Raw genomic sequence first — 17,585 nt, forward strand, 5'->3', positions numbered from 1 at the left:
ACATGGGAAGAGGTCAGAATTATTAAAACTTAAAAAGCTTTGGGGGATGGGGAGGATGGTGGTGGGGGTTGTACACTATGAAGTTTGTGAATATTAGAGAAACTGCAAACTAGAATCAACTGTTGCTACCAAATGAACTGCCTCTGCCAGGGTAAAGAAGTAGACTGCAGAGGCAGTGACAAGTAGGAAGCAACCAGAAAGCAAACAGAAAAAGGCAGGTTCCTTCTTCCTTTTCCAGCCTTACTGTCTCTGTCTAGCACTCCTTGACAGAGCCTACTCTGGAGCCAGCAGGCAAGAGAGTCCCAGCCCAGAGCCACAAGTCAGAGCATAGAAGTTTAGAGCTGAGAGATTATAGTTTCGTAACTAGCACGATTGCCATTCCCAGAGTGGATATCAGTGGATTACAAAAAACAGGACAGGCATCCTAGGAACTAAAGATTTCCTAAAACATTAACAGGTGTTCAATCACATTTTAGACTTATATTCATCATTATCTATGGATGCTACAACTGTCTTTGTGACCTCTGATTCTCATTTTCTTTAATGCGTGAAGACTTACTGCATAGGACTTATTCACATCTCACCACGCAAGACTGTTGGCTTGTAGACGATGGAATTTTAGGTGTAAGAAATGAATGGGCCTAGCACGTCAAAAAGTGAGCAGTGTCATCTTGGGCCTACAACATTGCACCTCTCTTCTCAGTCATCTTGGATTATCTGAGGCATATATGTCATTGATAGAAAAATCTTTACCTCCTTTAGTTCTTCTACTCCATTAATGTCCCTGCAAGTACTCTGCTTAAAGCCTAGCTTTTTGTAGGCCTTTGTACTTGTTTGTAGAATTAAACCCAGGTGTCTTGGAGTCATGTGGATTAAACATTTGGTTATGTGCTGCTTGTGTTTTTCTCCAGATGATTTCTATACCTAAGTCTTGTCATACCCACTAGGTGGCAGTCTTCTTGACCGCAGGTCTGTGTGGTGGGAAAGCACAGATTTAGAATCAACAGCACAAAGTTCAAATCCCAGTTCTGACACTTACTAAATTAGTGTTACTTAACTAAAGTTAGCAAGTGACATAATCTAAGTCTTAGTCCCTCATCTGCAAAATGGTGGACAGTATCTGTTTTCATTAGGTTGTGCTGGTGAAGTGAAATGATATCATAACATAGAACCTGGTACTTAATAGGTGTTAAATGACAAGCTTACCTTTTCCTTTCTTTATTTTCTATCTCTGTAACATATCTTTTCATACCAGGAATGTGTAATATTGGCAACCTGACTTACCAAATAGAGTAGCTGTGGAATCCTTTTAGGAGAGAAACTGAAATATCTTTATACAATGTCCCTTCTCCCCAGGCACCTAGAACATTGGGTACACCAATAACACTTTAAAATATATATATAATGATTGGAACTATTTCTAAAGAGGAAGGTCATCTTCAGTGTATGTAGACATGAGCTGCCGGATATTCTGTCAGAACAATAGCTATTCATTGTGTTAGTTTCAAAGCTGGCTCCGACAAGCTAGTATTTCAGTGTTATTCCCACACAAACAAATCTTGAGCAAAATTTCCATGACCCAATAGATTGGTGTAAACAACTCGCTGCAAGAACTTTTTACATGTAAACCCATGTCATTCATTCAAATGTTCAGTGCTTTCAGGGAGTTTTGTAAGTGCAGCCTAAGAATTAATGATTTTTAAAAAAGCAAAAACAAAAAACAAATGCTCATCAACCCCTACCCTCAGGATTGTGTTTTGTTGCAGAGTATATGCGGTAAATAGCTCAGTTCCTCCCACCATAGCTGTAGATGGGAGACACAGCCATCAGATAACATAGTCTGATGGGAAAGTCCTTTAAAGGCACTGAAACATTAACAGGCTGGCCGAGGCGTGCAGGCTGCCAGAGGTCCTGACTCCTGGGCCAAAGAATAATGACAGGCTTTCTATTTTTAAATAATAGTTAGCATTTGATAGCACTTAATATTTGCAGTGACCTTTACAGCTATTGTTATTAGTTATTCCTCCCAGCAGCTCTTTGAAAAAAATGACACAACTGTTTTTACTCAACTCCCCCAACTCCTTCTCCTTCCACTGCACTCACAGGATCAGTGGGGTTCTCAGCACATAGTGATGACATTTGCTTAGATGTAAGCTCCATTTCCTCATGAGCAGTGATCTCAGTGATAAAGAATCTTTTCAAGTCAAAACAATATTAAATACGGTGTGTTTTCATATATCCCGTGTGAGTCAGATCATGTCACTTCTCTGCTGAAAACCCTGCAATGCTTCCCCATCTCACTCAGTGTAAAGCCACGGTCTTTACAGTGGCCTGGAAGACTTGTATAATCAACCCCTCCTTCACTGCTTGCACCGACCTCACACTCCTCACCCCCTCCCCATCTCTGCCCTAGTCACATGGGCCTCCCTGTAGCAACTCCAGCCGCACAGGCTCTTGTCTTAGGCCTTTGCCCTGGATATTTCTTCTGCCTGAAATGTTCTTCCTTCACACGTGGCTGCCTCTGACACCTTCAGCTTTTGCTTAGATGTCACCTTTTCAATGAGGTCTCCCCTGCCAACCTAATTTAAAACTGCAGCTGTGATCAAGTACTTATTGCCTCCTAATGTACTATATTATTTACTGAGTTACTGGGTTTACTGTTTATTTTCTCTCCTCCACAAGACTGTAAAATCCACAAAAGCAGAGATCTTTGTCCATTTAGTTCACTGCTATATACCAAGCACCTAGAACAATACATATAGAAGGCATGTAATAAATATTTGTTGGATGAACAAATGCTGTTTCTCTAAAGATTGTTGTAATAGGTTTGACCTGTAGACTTAGAATGCATCTCAGTATGTGGTTTATCTTTATATTCCTTAGCAGTAGTTCCTAAGCTTGTTTTCCAACCATAGCAAACAGTTCATTTTGATAGTAATTCTGTAGAGCTAAATGAAGCACACAAATTCTAAAGGTTGGAAGGAAGTGCTGCAGCAAAGAAATGGATTTTGTAGGTGTTATAGTCCAACCACCCATCTATTCTAATCCCATCAACTGCATCCCCATGGGGCATTGTATCTCTCCATCTTTACAGAAAGGGAGAAGAGGACAGAGGTAAAAGAATAGGTTCTGTGATCAGGAGGCCCTGTCATGTAATTCTTGTTCCACCCATGTCTACTGTGTGACCTTGAACAAGATACTTTAGCCTCTTTCTGCCTCAGTTTCCTCATCTGTAAAATGGTGATAGAAACAACTGCTACCTCATAGCCGGTTTTTTCCCCTAACATTTTTTTTTTAACTGTGGTAAAATACGTATAAAATGTACCATCTTACTCAATTTTAAGTGAACAGTCTAGTAATATTAAATATATTCATAATGTTCTGCAATCATTACCACCATCCATCTCCGTAACTCTTTTCATCTTGTAACATGGAAACTCTATACCTCTTAAACAATAACTCCCATTTCTACCTCCTCCCAGCCACTGGGAATCACCATTCTACTTTCTGTCTTTATGATTTTTTATACTCTAAATGCCTTATATACATGGAAAATATAGTCTTTTTGTGACTGGCTCATTTCACTTAGCATAATGTCTTCCAAGTTTATCTATTTTGTAGCATATGTCAGAATTTCCCTCCTCTTTGAGGTTGAATAGTATTCCTTTGTATGTGGTGTGTGTGTGTGTGTGTGTATATATATATATATATATATATATGCCATATTTTGTTTATCCATTTATTCATCCATGTACTATTGTGTTGCTTTCACATTCATAGGGTTTTGTGATGATGAATGAGCTAAGGGAGGTAGAATTTGGCATATAGTAAGCACCAAATAAATACTAGCTGCTATTATTATTATTAATCCTGATTTTTAGAAAGTCCTTAACATTAAGCTTATTTCAGTTTTATTAAGTTATATACAACTGATATAACCCATGATATAACCCACTTTAATGACCTGGGGAGTACAAATAATAGATATATCTTTTATTCCCCTATTAGTTGCCAGAACATCTTCCTGATAATACTAATAGGAAGCCCAGTATCTCTCTCTTAAGGCCCTATCGCCTCTCACCTCTTCTAAACATCCAAGATTGCCAAGAACACTCTGGTCTTCATTCATTCCAAAAGGGCTAAGTCCCAGTTCTAAAAGCAAGCGGAGAAAAAACTGAGCAGTCCAAGTGGTCTGCCAATATTGCTGCTTCTTCCTGTGGGGTAATATTGAAAACTGGCTCTACACAGGCCAGCAGCCACTTCCCCACTGCTGCAGGGATTCTCTCACTGACTTAGGTCTTCTTCATGGACCTAGGACTTGGACTTCAAGATTACAGCTCTTTTAGTTCATAGTGCTCAGTCATTGTTCTCAAATCACACCCACAACCAGAAGAGTTTCTAGTCTCAGCCATGGGATACATGGGACCAGCCTTCTCACACCTCTGTACCCTTAATCCTGCTGGTAACACTGGATCATCAGTCTAGACTGTCCCTTTTCTCATGGTGAGTTTCCCCTTTGGAATTTTTGATGTCCTTTTCTCCTCCAGGCTTCTTGTGGGGTCTATCCTAACCCATCAGGAAGGTTCTAATAATGTCTCCTGCTAGGAGGCTCCTTGACCTCCCTGCAATTGTTCAGCCTTTCATCAGAGACCAGCTCTGCATAACAGGGGTATTGGAGGGGCAGGCTTTGTCAGGCCACATATAACTTCTACTAGACTGTCCTCTCCAGGGCAACAGAGTGTTAAATATCTCACAGCATCATGAGTAAGAGTGGCCCCTTAATGACTCTTTGCCAAATGGGGAAGATCGGTGTCCACTTAGACAGAAAAGTAACTGTCATTACCCAGCTATTTAATTTCAGGTTGCTTCCTACCAGATACCCTGTTACACTTCTGTTCACTGGGTCTGGTTCTACTTTTTTTTCAGACATGGGGTCTTGCTGTGTTGCCCAGGCTAGAGTACAGTGGTGAGAGCATAGCTCACTGCAGCCTCTAATTCCTGGGCTCAGGTGATCCTCCTGCCTCTGCCTTCCAAGTAGCTAGGGCTTGGAAGGTGCAGGCCACAATGTTGGAAGGTGCATGCCATGATGTCTGGCTAATTTAATTTTTTTTCTTTTTAAGAGAAGAGGTCTCTCTGTGTTGCCCAGGCTGGTCTCAAACTCCTGGCCTCAAGTGATTCTCTCACCTTGACCTCCCAAATTGTTGGGATTACAGGCATGAACCAACTCACCCAGCCTGGTTCTACTTCCTGATGTCAGTAGGAACCTCTTCCCTATGACAAAACTTCACCAAATGAATCCCCAGAGGCCTCAGCTTATTTTGTTCTCCACTGGCTCCCCAGCTTACTCACTGGGTAATCTTAGTCACATTTTTAACAATCACAGTTAATGTTTATTGACCTTACTATTTGCCCAGTACTGTGCTAAGTGCTGTAATATATTAACAAATTTAGTCTTTAAACAACCCCATCTACAAAAAGGTCACCTTTTTGTAGATGAGGTAACTGAGACTTAGGAATAAGGCTTAGTAGTAAGGCTAAGGTCACATATCTGTTAGAATTTGAGCACAGCCTCTTGGGCTCCAGAGCCCACAGCGATGCAATACTGTATCCCTAACTCAAATTTATAGAACAGAGATGCTTATCTCAGAGTGTTGTGGTGAGGATTGGATGCAATAAAGTGTGAAAAGTGATTCGCACTGGCTCTTTAAGTGTTCAAAAAATGTTCATTTGCCACCCTTTTCCTTCCATTCAAGTGAGCATCTCATATCTTAAATACTGCACATTTTTTAAGTGCCTGACACAGAGTGGGTGCTCATTGGGTAGTAACTACCCCCATTATTACAGTGCATGCTTTGAAGTCCCCTCCCAGTCCTGACTGTTCTCTTCTAGTTCAGTTGGATTCTTCCTTTCTTTTTTTTTTTTTTTTTTTTTTTGAGACGGAGTCTCGCTCTGTGGCCCAGGCTGGAGTGCTGTGGCTCGATATCGGCTCACTGCAAGCTCCGCCTCCTGGGTTCATGCCATTCTCCTGCCTCAGCCTCTGGAGTAGCTGGGACTGCAGAAGCCCACCACTATGCCCGGCTAATTTTTTGTATTTTTTAGTAGAGACAGGGTTTCACCGTGTTAGCCAGGATGGTCTCGATCTCCTGGCCTCGTGATCCACCCGCCTCGGCCTCCCAAAGTGCTGGGATTACAGGCGTGAGCCACCGCACCCGGCCTCTTTCTTTCTTTCTTTCTTTCTTTCCTTCTTTCTTTCTTTCTTTCTTTCTTTCTTTCTTTCTTTCTTTCTTTCTTTCTTTCTTTCTTTCTTTTCTTTCCTTCCTTCCTTCCTTCCTTCCTTCCTTCCTTCCTTCCTTCCTTCCTCTCTCTCTCTCTCTTTCTTTCTTTCTCTCTTTCTTTCTTTCTTTCTTTCTTTCTTTCTTTCTTTCTTTCTTTCAGGTTCTCACTCTGTCACCTAGGCTGGAGGGCAGTGGTGCAATGATGGCTCACTAAGGTCTCAAACTCCTGGGCTCAAAGAATCCTCCCACCTCAGCCTCTAAAGTAGCCACCATGCCCAGCTATTTTTTTTTTTTTTTATTCTTTGTAGAAACAGGGTCTCACTATGTTGGCCAAGCTGGTCCTGAACTCCTGGCCTCAAGTGATCCTTCTGCCTCAGCATCCCAAAATGCTGGGATCTAAGATCCAATCTAAGATCCAGCTGAGGCACAAGCCACCACACCCAGCCTCAATTGGATCTTAGATTTTGGTGCCCAGAAGTGTACATGCTACACCAGGGGTGGGCTTGAATAAAGCAGAGTGGAAGGGGACAATCACCTGCCTCCCCAGAGTGCACGATGTCCTATTACTAGTATGTTTAATAATACTAATATTAGTATAATAGTATACTAATATTATTAGTATATCTTAGGAGACATTACTATTTCTGCTAGTCATTTACACTGTCAGTATTGAAATTATGGTCAGTCAGATCCTTGACATCTCTTTACTTAGGCTGTTGCTCGTCCACACCTCACTTGGCCTGCCTTTCATTTTTCCTTTTAGAAAAAAAAGAGATACCTTTTCCAAAAATATCTTCTTTTTTTCTGATTAAATACTACAAGTTTGTTGTGGAAACTTTGAAAATGCAGAAACGTACAAAGAAGGAAATCAAAGTTACCATGAACAGCATGATCCAGAGATAACCTCTGTTAATATCTGCATATGTATATTTCCAATATGTGTATGTGCTTCTTTTTTATAAAATTAGGATCATGCTGTTTGCCATTCAAAATATATCCTGAGTCTGACACTTTTCACCATTTTTTCCCAACATAAGTCACCTCTATCTTTTTCTTAAACTACTGTAAAACTACTAAACTACTATCCCCTAAAATTGGTTTCCCTGCTTCCATTCTTACTCCCCTACACTCTGTTCTCCAAAAAATAACCATTGTGATCCTTTAAAATCCTGACTCTCTCCTGCTCAGAGTCATCCAGTGGCTTCCCATATCACGTAAAATGAAACCCCAATCGCTCCTTACTCTGGCCTGCAGGGGCCTGTGTGATGGGCCTTCTCCAGCTTCGTTCTTCCTTTCCTTCTGTTCTCCCCTCTGCTTACCTACTCCATCTCCAGGGCTTCTTTCCAGCTCAAGCCCTTTCCTGTTGAGAGCATTTGCTTTCCCCAGCGCTACGAGGCTCAGTCCATTTCAGCCCCTGATCCCATACCCTCTCTCAGGGACCACCTTGCCCAAACAGTACCTCTGCCTCCATCATTCTCCTTTCCCTTTCCCTGATTCATTTTCCTTATTAGAGTAATTAGTCTTCTGTAACATGACTGTATTTTTATTTATGTACATATTTATTTGCTTGTTTATTTGTACCCTGTGATCTACGTCTTCCCATTCTCCCACCCCTGGCCACTGGTAATGACTGTTCTACTCTCTGCTTCTATGTATTTGATTTTTTTTTTTTTTTTTTTTTTTTTTAGACGGAGTCGCATTCTGTCTCCTAGGCTGGAGTGCAGCGGCACGATCTTGGCTCACTGCAACCTCCGCCTCCTGGGTTCAAGCGATTCTCCTGCCTCAGCGTCCCAAGTAGGTGGGACTACAGACACCCACCACCAAGCCCGGGTAATTTTTGTATTTTTAGTAGAGACAGGGTTTCACCATATTGGCCAGGCTGGTCTTGAACTCCTGACCTTGTGATCCGCCCGCCTTGGCCTCTCAAAGTGCTAGGATTACAGGCGTGAGCCAGCACGCCCAGTGTATTTGATTTTTTTAAGATTCCACATATAAGTGAGATAATATAATATTTTCTCTATGTCTGGCTTATTTCACTTAGCATAATGTCCTTTTTATGTTGTCACAAATGGCCGGATCTCCTTTTTTAAGGGTGACTAATATCCCATTGTGTATATATATCTATAGATATATATAGATATCTATAGATATCTATAGATACATATACACACACAACACAATTTCTGTTTTCATCCATTTGTTGAAGGACAACTTTAGTTGTTCCATATCTTGGCTATTGTGAATAATGCAGTGAACATAAGAGCACAGTTATCTTTACGAGGCGGTGATTTCATTTCCTTTGGGTATATACCCAGAAGAGGATGCCAGGTCATATTACAGTTCTATTTTTAGTTTATTTAGGAACCTCCCTACTGTTTTCCACAATGGCTGCACCAATCTACATTCCCACCGCATTGCAAAGGGGTTCCTTTTCTCCATCCCCTTGTCAACACTGATCTCTTGTCTTTTTATAATAGCCAACCTAACAGGTGTGAGATGATATCTCATTGTGATTTTGATTTGCATTTCCATGATGATTGGTGATGTTGAGTACCTTTTCATATAACTGTTGGTTATGAAAGTATAAAAAGTAATTTTTATACTTTCTTTGGAGAAATGTCTATTCAGGTCCTTTGCCTATATTTTAATCTGGTTATTCATATTTTTGCTTTTGAGTTGTGTGTGTTCCTTATATGTTTTAGATATTAGCCCCTTATCAAATATATGGTTTGCAAATATTATCTCCCAACCTGTAGGCTGCCTTTTCATTTCGATTGTTTCCTTTGCTGTGCAGAAGCTTTTTAATTTGATGTAGTCCCACTTGTTTATTTTTGCTTTTGTTGCCTGCCACATGATTTTAATGGCTGTAATAGTCTATCATATGTATGTACTATAAGTCTCCTATTGTTAGACTTTTAGGTTGTTTTCCTTCTGGGGTAGTGTAAGTTATAGTCAATATCTTATTTTTACAGCTTTCATCTTGTGAGATTCCATCACTTCCTGACACAAAGTGATCCCATTTATAATGGGATCCCATTTATAATGATAATTTCTATAATCAGGTACTATTCTAAATGCTTTACGTACTAATTTAATCTACCTCATATAGTAAGGTATATACAATCATTATCTCCACTTTCCAGATAGGGAAATTGAGTCCGATAGTGTAAGTAACTTCTTTAACATCACACAATTAGTAAGTGGTAGAGCTGGGATTCCAACAGGTCTCTACTTCCGCAGCCTGAGCTCTCAACCCCTCCTCCACCTCACCAGCTGCCTCCTGATCTTTCTCCCAGCAGATGTCAGCAAACTTCCTTTGTCTTGCAGATCATTACTGTTTTTGTATAGAGAGGCACTGAAGACCAAGTCATGTGCCAATTCACATCTTTGTACAGAATAATATTATCCTGTTCTCCAGTCCTTTTAGCGGATTATAGCTGAGCTCCTCTGAATATTCCTTACTGTATTATCATGGAGCTTGTATTTCTCTACCTTGTCCACAAAGAAAGTGTGCTGACTTGTTTGTCACCATTTTCTAACTAGACAATGGAACAGTTACTACCTGAGGAACCCTGTCAGAGAGGAGATGAGGTTAGTCTGACCAGCATTCATCTTCCTGGGTCAACACAAGGTGTCTAAGCTGCGTTAGAATTTTGCTAAAAGTCCCTGTTAATAAAACGGAGACATTTGCCCCTCTGCAAGTTTCTGCAAGTTCTACCATGCTTCATAAAGTCTCATATATTATAATATTTCCATTTTTTTCAGATGTCAGATATTGTAAATGAATTCCTGTTATTTTAGGGTCCTAGAGCTGCTTATTTTACTGTTCCTGTTGCAGTGAGTATTGGGGTGCCTGTATAGACGGTGCTGAGATGTAATTCATCTGAGGCTGGAGACTTAAATGCAGCAGCCAGGTGCTCTCCTCCTACTTCCTCACTATCACAGACTTTAATTTCCTCTTGGCCATATTTTTGTTCTTCTTTCTGGCTCGAAGGTCATTCCTGATAAAGAAGATGGAAGCAAACTAGGAGTTGAGTAATTCTGTTTTCACTGTATCATCTCTAAATTAACTGTGTCATCTGCCCCCAGCAGGAGGCCAAACTCTTCTCTTGTTCTTTTTCTTGTTCTGAACCCACCCCAGTGGCTCCTGGTGTATTTTATGTGTGCATTCTCCTGTGCCCCAGCCTTCTACTTCCGTGACTTGATTCTTTCTTTTGATGCCACTCCTTTGTATCTGCTGTTGGCTGCAAATTCCTCCTTCCTGCCTTTGTGAGTGTCCTTGTAAAATATAAGCTCATTGGAGACAGTAATTTTTTTGGATAGTTCCCTCTCTTCCTCCTCTCCAGAGTAGAGTCAGAATTAAATTAGGTGGAGCCTCCAGTCTTTCTAGAACCAAGTTCTACATGATTAGAGTCTCTGACCATGGAATCAAAGAGCATTTAGCCTTGTGCCTTACATATAGGAAGTCTGCAATAATGGTAACAATAATAACAACAATAATAACCTTTACTGAGTGTTCACCATAATAGTAAACCATACTAGGGGCTTTATATATGTGATCTCATTTAATTCTCAATGTTGACATATAAGGTAGGTCTTATTATTCACGATTACAGATGAGGATATTGAGATACAGAGAGGTGACATTTGCACAGCCGTAAGGACAGCGCCAAGAGCCTGACTCAGGTCTGTCCAGATTCCTGAGCGTGTACTTTAACCTCCACATTCTGCTGCCCTCTGAGATTTAATCCACTGAATCACCTTCTTTTCTCTGGACTTGTAGAGTTCTTCATTCTTGCAGTCTCAGGAACATAGACGGCTTGCATTCACTTCCTTGGCTCTTGAGAATCACATAGTGACAAGGTCCTTTTCTGTCTAAGTGCCAGTCGATTCCATTGTGTTATCCACCTAGTTCACCTTTAATGGCCAAAATTAGATCCAAGCAGTAGCTCCCTCACAACATCCTTGTCCCTCTGTGACATGAAGTTGTCAGTAGAGCAAGGCCTGAGTGAATTGGATGCTCTGCTTCTGACAGAGTGGGGCTCCTAACAGACCTCTGGATTGTTCTTCCATCATCCCTCAGCCTGCAGAGAACAGAGCCTGATGGTGGGAGTGACAGGTACACCTAATGGGTGGGCCCAAGGGCAACCAGCCTCTCCTTGCCCCCTCCCCACTGAGCTTTCTGTGCTCTGGGAATATTATGCTGGCTTGAAGGTTTTTCTTCAACTATGATTTACATGCCACCTATTCTCAAAAAGAATGTGAAGTAATTTACAATAAAACATGTCTAAAACAAGACAATTAAAACATATTTTTAAAAGAGAGGCAGATGGAGAGAGGTCAGAAATCACTTGGTTTGAATCCCTGACAAGAAGTTATAGCACATGAATGCATTTTGATCAATTCTCGATACAAATGTCTGGGTGTGTAGGAATGGGGAAAAAACTCTGCGGAGTGGGGAACCTTGAACCTCATGGGCCCCATCCTCCACCTGGAGCCAAAATCAAGTGACATCATGCCTAGCAATGCCTGTGAAAATATTAATTCAGGCCGGGCGCGGTGGCTCACGCCTGTAATCCCAGCACTTTGGGAGGCCGAGGCGGGCGGATCACGAGGTCAGGAGATCGAGACCATCCCGGCTAAAACGGTGAAACCCCGTCTCTACTAAAAGTACAAAAAATTAGCCGGGCGTAGTGGCGGGCGCCTGTAGTCCCAGCTACTTGGGAGGCTGAGGCAGGAGAATGGCGTGAACCCGGGAGGCGGAGCTTGCAGTGAGCCGAGATCCCGCCACTGCACTCCTGCCTGGGCGACAGAGCGAGACTCCGTCTCAAAAAAAAAAAAAAAGAAAATATTAATTCATACTATCTGTCTCAGGAAGCCTCGGGGAAGGCAGCAGAGGAACCGCTGCATGTGTGAACTCTAAGTTTAGTGTAGCCAGTTTGCCCAAGGGTCAGAGCCAAGATAATTCATCACTGTCACAGACAAAAGGCCTCCATAAATTTGTCTTTAAATTTTAATACCTAAATCACATATTATACAGACAGAACTCACACAACCCATCTATTGCTCTGTTATAATTTTTAAGGACAAAAATGGTATAAATCATAACAGGACTTTTAAAATTATCACAGTTGTTTCAAGAGATGCTATGCTATAGCTTTTCTGTTAGACAAGATTCCAGTAGGAAATGGATGACTGAAGAATGAATGAATGAATGAATGAATGAGTGAGTGCCTACATGGTCCCATGACACCAGTGAATCAGTTTCATACTAGCTGTGACAAACAGTTCATTCAGTAGAGCTGAGCATGACTTCTGGCGGCACTTCCTGTCATGATGTAGGCTGATACTGTGGGAGCTCTGAGTCAGAACTGCAGCCAGCAACATGACTCAGGGCATTGAGGTCAGGGCAGGGGAGCTCAGGCACTCCTCTGACCCTTGTCTAGGTGTGCACCTACAACTCCCTTGATAGGTTTACATATGACCAACTTCATTTGATAGACAGAAAAATAGAGAAGGAACGTTGGTGATGGAGGGTTGGCTTATGACTTTCTATATCATTAGAGATGTAACAAACACTCGCAGTGACCAGATGAATCAGAAGGAAGATTTCTTGAGGTCCCTGGTAGGCATATTTCCTCTTACCTTCAATTCTATGGGGCATTTCTGTAGTTTGTTGAATGGAATCAAAGTGTTAAGGCAACCTAGAAACTAAGTACTAGCCAGGTTCAGTTAGAGGCAATCAAACAATGAAATATCAGGCAACAGATTTAACTAAAACTGTTCTCTTAATCCTTTTTTTTTTTTTTTTTTTTTTTTTTGGAGACAGAGTCTTGCTGTGTCACCCAGGCTGGAGTGCAGTGGTGTGATCTCAGCTCACTGTAACCTCCACCTCCCGGGTGCAAGCAATTCTCCTACCTCAGCCTCCTGAGTAGCTGGGACTACAGGCTCCCGCCACCATGCCCAGCTAATTTTTTGTATCTTTAGTAGAGATGGGGTTTCATCGTGTTAGCCAGAATGGTCTTGATCTCCTGACCTAGTGATCCACCTGCCTCAGCCTCCCAAAGTGCTGGGATTACAGGCGTGAGCCACCATGCCCGGCCTCCTTTCTGTTTTCTTAATGTGAAGGTTTTTAAGTATGTAGGTATTCATGGGAGAAGTAGTAGTTATTTGTTGTAGGCAAATACTGGTGTTCTCTCAGCTATAGGAAGTCATTAAAGATGGGAATGATTAGGATAGGGAAATGGCATTCGTAAGTCTGGGTGTGGCTATTTTTTTTGTTAGCTTGATAGAATTTGATAGGCAATGATTTTTAAACTTTCTTGTAAGGCTGGATTAAAATATATAATTTAAAATCTTTGGGGTGATATTATAGTAAAACCCAGTCTCCACAAGTGATTGTGTGAATTTACTCAATGCATCAAGTATTTGTTGATCACCTGATTGTTAACCATCCATCCATCCATTAATCTATCCATCTATTCATCCATCCATCCATCCATCCACCATTTATGCATACACTACTTACTCAGCATATGTTATGGGCTGAATTGTCCCGCCTATCACCCCAAATTCATATGTTGAAGTCCTAACCCTCAGTACCTCAGAATGTGACTATATTTGGAGATATGTCTATAAAGACGTAATTAAAGTGAGGGTGGGCCCTAATCCAATTTTACTAGTATCCTTATAAGAAGGGGAAATTTGGACAGGTGTGTATAGAGAGGAGACTACGAGAAGACACAGACAGAAGATGGCCTTTTACAAGCCAAGGAGAGAGGCCTTAGAAGAAACTAACCCTGCTGACACCTTGATCTCAGGCTTCTAGCCTCCAAACTTGTAAGAAAATAAATCTCCGTTGTTTAAACCACTCAGTCTGCAGTATTTGGTTATGGTAGCCCTAGCAAACTAATGTACTTCCAATATACCAGTGCACTATGCTGGATATGATATGCTAGATAATACTATGCTATACCAGTGCACTATGCCAGATAATACATGTACTTCCAATATACCAGTGCACTATGTTAGATATGAATGAAGTATCATCTCTGCCTTCAAACAGCTTCCAGCCTGCTAGGTACAAAACACTGCTAAGTGTCAAGGAAACTATAAAGCTACAGTGATGAATCAAACCTTTAGTTTCATGAGGTGCTTAACATTCTATAAAACCAGCCCTTGCCCCCATTGGTTTGTATGGGGTTACAATTGGCATGTGCCCCTATTTTATTTTGAATTCTGACCCCAAAAAATGTTTTTGCGTATGTCAGTTGGGAGTTAAGTGAAATTTATATCAGCCACAAGAAACTAAAACCTGAAGAGGTATGAGAGGTTGTGTTTTACTTTTTAATTCATATAGCATGATTTAGGTATAAAACAGCCTTCAGAGTATTTTTGTGGCTTTAAACCCATCAGAAAACTCATTTTTGCAGTAAAATCCTATCTTCATGGCAGATCCATTTATTCTGGGATCACACAGCTTCGGCTGATCTCCAGAGTAAGCAGAAGATACAGTAGTGACAGCTGGCAGCCTCGCTCACTTAGATTCTGTTTGTGCAACTGCTGTTAATATGGAGCCGCTAACCTAGGAAAAAAATCATGGCTTGAACCAAGGTGGAGGACATGGAGCAGGGCCCTGTGGCTTTTGGAGTAGAAGTGGTCACACACGTTAACAAACAGCATGAACCCAAACTATAAAAACATAGAATTTTGAGAGCTCTAAGGAAATTTGGATGTTATCTGGTCAAAGCCCTCATTTTGTAGATTTGGAGCCAGACACACAGGTTAAATGTTAAGTGGCTTGCCTACGGTAAAAAGGCTAGCTAGTAACAGAAATAGGATGAAGACGTGTCTCTTGCTCTGAGTACAGCTGTCTTTTCTGCCACTATAGGTTTGGGTTTGGGAAATTAGTAGCCCAGAGCTGATTCCCACACAAACACCGTGTCTGTAATTCAGGTGTGTTGCTGCTGAATAGAGTGTTGTCTATTCTTAGTGTTGGTCTGAACTGCTGGGCTTCCTATCTGTATTGGAAACTGAGTCAAACAAGTATAGCCCTCTTCTTCCACCCAAAAATAGAGCTGTTTATCCCTCACCCCCTCCCACCCCCTCTGCTCAGGTGATGGGTACACCAAAATCTCAGAAATCATTACTAAAGAACTTATTCTTGTAACCAAACACCACCTGTTCCCCAAAAACCTATTTAAATTAAAAAAAATAGAGCTGTTTAATATAACAAATGTAGAATGAATGCAAAGAGAAAATGAATGCCTCTTGGGTACCAGCTGTGTGGCAAGCACTGTGCTGGCCCTTCATGGCAACTATGAGGAAACTGAGGTTGAAGACATTGTATCTCTTGTTTAAGATCTCACAGTACCAATTGACAGTTCTAGGATTTGTTCTATTCCAGAGCCTACAAGTTTTCCACCAATCTATGTTCCCTCCCTCAGCATAATTAATAATTGTTATACTATAAGGCTAAACTAAATTTATATCAAGATGTCCCAGAGAGTTATATCTTATTTGTTAACCATTAACTTTTCCCAATCAGACACTTAATGCAGCACTAGTTCCATCTTAAGACTAGAACAGAACACCATGGATGATGATTTTGAACCTCTTTTGGCCAGAAATGTGCCCAGAGTTCTAAACCTTGGACAGCTTTGCATCAAGACCTTTGGAGGCAGCTTTCACCTACTCATATACGTGATTCACCATCTCCATGGGGCCCTCTTTTCTTGATTATTAGGTCTGACTTTATTTACAGCTGAAATGTGATTCCCTTTTATGAAGATCATTTTTTATTCCAAAAAAGACCTTGGGTATTATGTCCTGTTCTCATGGTCAGAAATCTGAATGCTTCAATATACTGCATTTTGCTTTTCTTTCATAGCCAAATAAAAGAGAAAGACCACAGTTATACATAGTGTGTCAGTCTGGCTCACTCAGATTATGTTTGTAAAATTCCTTTTTCTATAGAGCTAATATTTACTCAGCACTGATGTCCCAGGCACCATATGGTATCCCAGGGACCATACTAAGCCCTTTCTATGGATGGTCTCTCTTAAGACTCAGAATAACCTTTTGTTTATAAACTGTCACATAGGAGGGTCAAACAACTCAGCCTGGTTCATACTGCCATCAAAAAGCAAAGCTGAGCTTCGAACCCAGGCTGTGTGTGCAAATCCCTGAGCTTTCAAACCACTGTGCATGCTGTCTCCCAACTCTTTGTTTTTTCTGTGCCTTTCTCTAGCCAGGAGGTTTTTCTCCACCTGCCCATTTATCTTCCATAATTCTTGCTCTTGGGACAGATGATTTCCAAGGTCCCTTCAAGTATTGAAATTCCATGACTGATTAAAAATTATAATGTATGCAGTTTGATTAATTTGCACTAATGCCTGAGTTCATTCACAATGTTAATTTCTTTACAAGGTTCCAACAGTTTTTTAACTTACAGATCTCCTTCTGATGTTAAAGGAATCATGCTGCTTTTCCTATAATAATATTTAAGTCCCCAGTTTTAAAAACATAAGGTTTAAAAATATATCTGAAAGGATTTTACCATGCATGCAACACACCAATTTTCCATATGGACCAAAATAGTCTTTTTAAGACCCTGTTCTCTCAGTTGTCTTTCCCAAGTCTCACAGATGCAGTGCTAATTGCATGCAGCTTCAGGTCCTTTATAACATGAGGTAACAATTTCAGTGTCTTGGGCTTGAATGCTGCATTTGTTAGACATGCCAGGCCTGGAATTGGTGTCAGCTCGTCAGGATGCTGAATCCACATGGAGAGCAACTCATCTGAACGTTGGGAAGCTTCCTGGAGAAACTCCTGTTGTGCTCCTCTCAGGCATGGCGTGAGAGCCAGTGGTGTGACTGGTTCCTTAGCTAGGATGCATCTTGGTCAGACTTGGCAGCACTGGGTGATGGCTCTTTGGGACCAGTGCAGGTATTTGAGTCTCTCTAGTCAAGTTGTACTTGTTGAAGAATGATTCCAGAAGTGACGTTTATTCACAGACCTACTACTTGGGCTACTTGGGCTAGCTCCAAGTGTCTGAGTGGCTCGGCGGCTGAAGGCAGACTGCACTTGGGACACATCTAAAATTCATTCTGACTGGATTGAGAAAACAAGGAGACCAAAAAGAAAAGAAGTGGCAGGATTCTGCAATCACATCTGTAACTGAGGAGCCACGGGATATAACTTTGGAGAATATCTTGACCTGATCTTGCTTTGCAGCTTGTCTGTAGTTCTAGTCTTTAGAGTCGCGGAAGCCTGAGTTCCCACCAAGCTCAGCTCTTAATGGCTGTGTGA

General features: G+C 41.2%; 2 annotated features.

Annotated features, from left to right (window-relative positions):
- Positions 9,247-9,903: an enhancer, noted in NCBI's record as "OCT4-NANOG hESC enhancer chr14:32403751-32404407 (GRCh37/hg19 assembly coordinates)". NCBI's record gives its function as "activates a minimal SCP1, AML or CMV promoter by ChIP-STARR-seq in naive and primed H9 embryonic stem cells {active_cell/tissue: H9 hESC(naive and primed)}" and the evidence as "EXISTENCE:reporter gene assay evidence [ECO:0000049][PMID:30033119]".
- Positions 9,405-9,699: an enhancer, noted in NCBI's record as "tiled region #2273; HepG2 Activating DNase matched - State 5:Enh, and K562 Activating DNase unmatched - State 12:CtcfO". NCBI's record gives its function as "activates a minimal TATA promoter and a strong SV40 promoter by Sharpr-MPRA in HepG2 and K562 cells {active_cell/tissue: HepG2 | K562}" and the evidence as "EXISTENCE:reporter gene assay evidence [ECO:0000049][PMID:27701403]".

The sequence above is a fragment of the Homo sapiens genome, chromosome 14 (genome assembly GCF_000001405.40).
Source record: "Homo sapiens chromosome 14, GRCh38.p14 Primary Assembly".
NCBI lineage: Eukaryota > Metazoa > Chordata > Mammalia > Primates > Hominidae > Homo > Homo sapiens.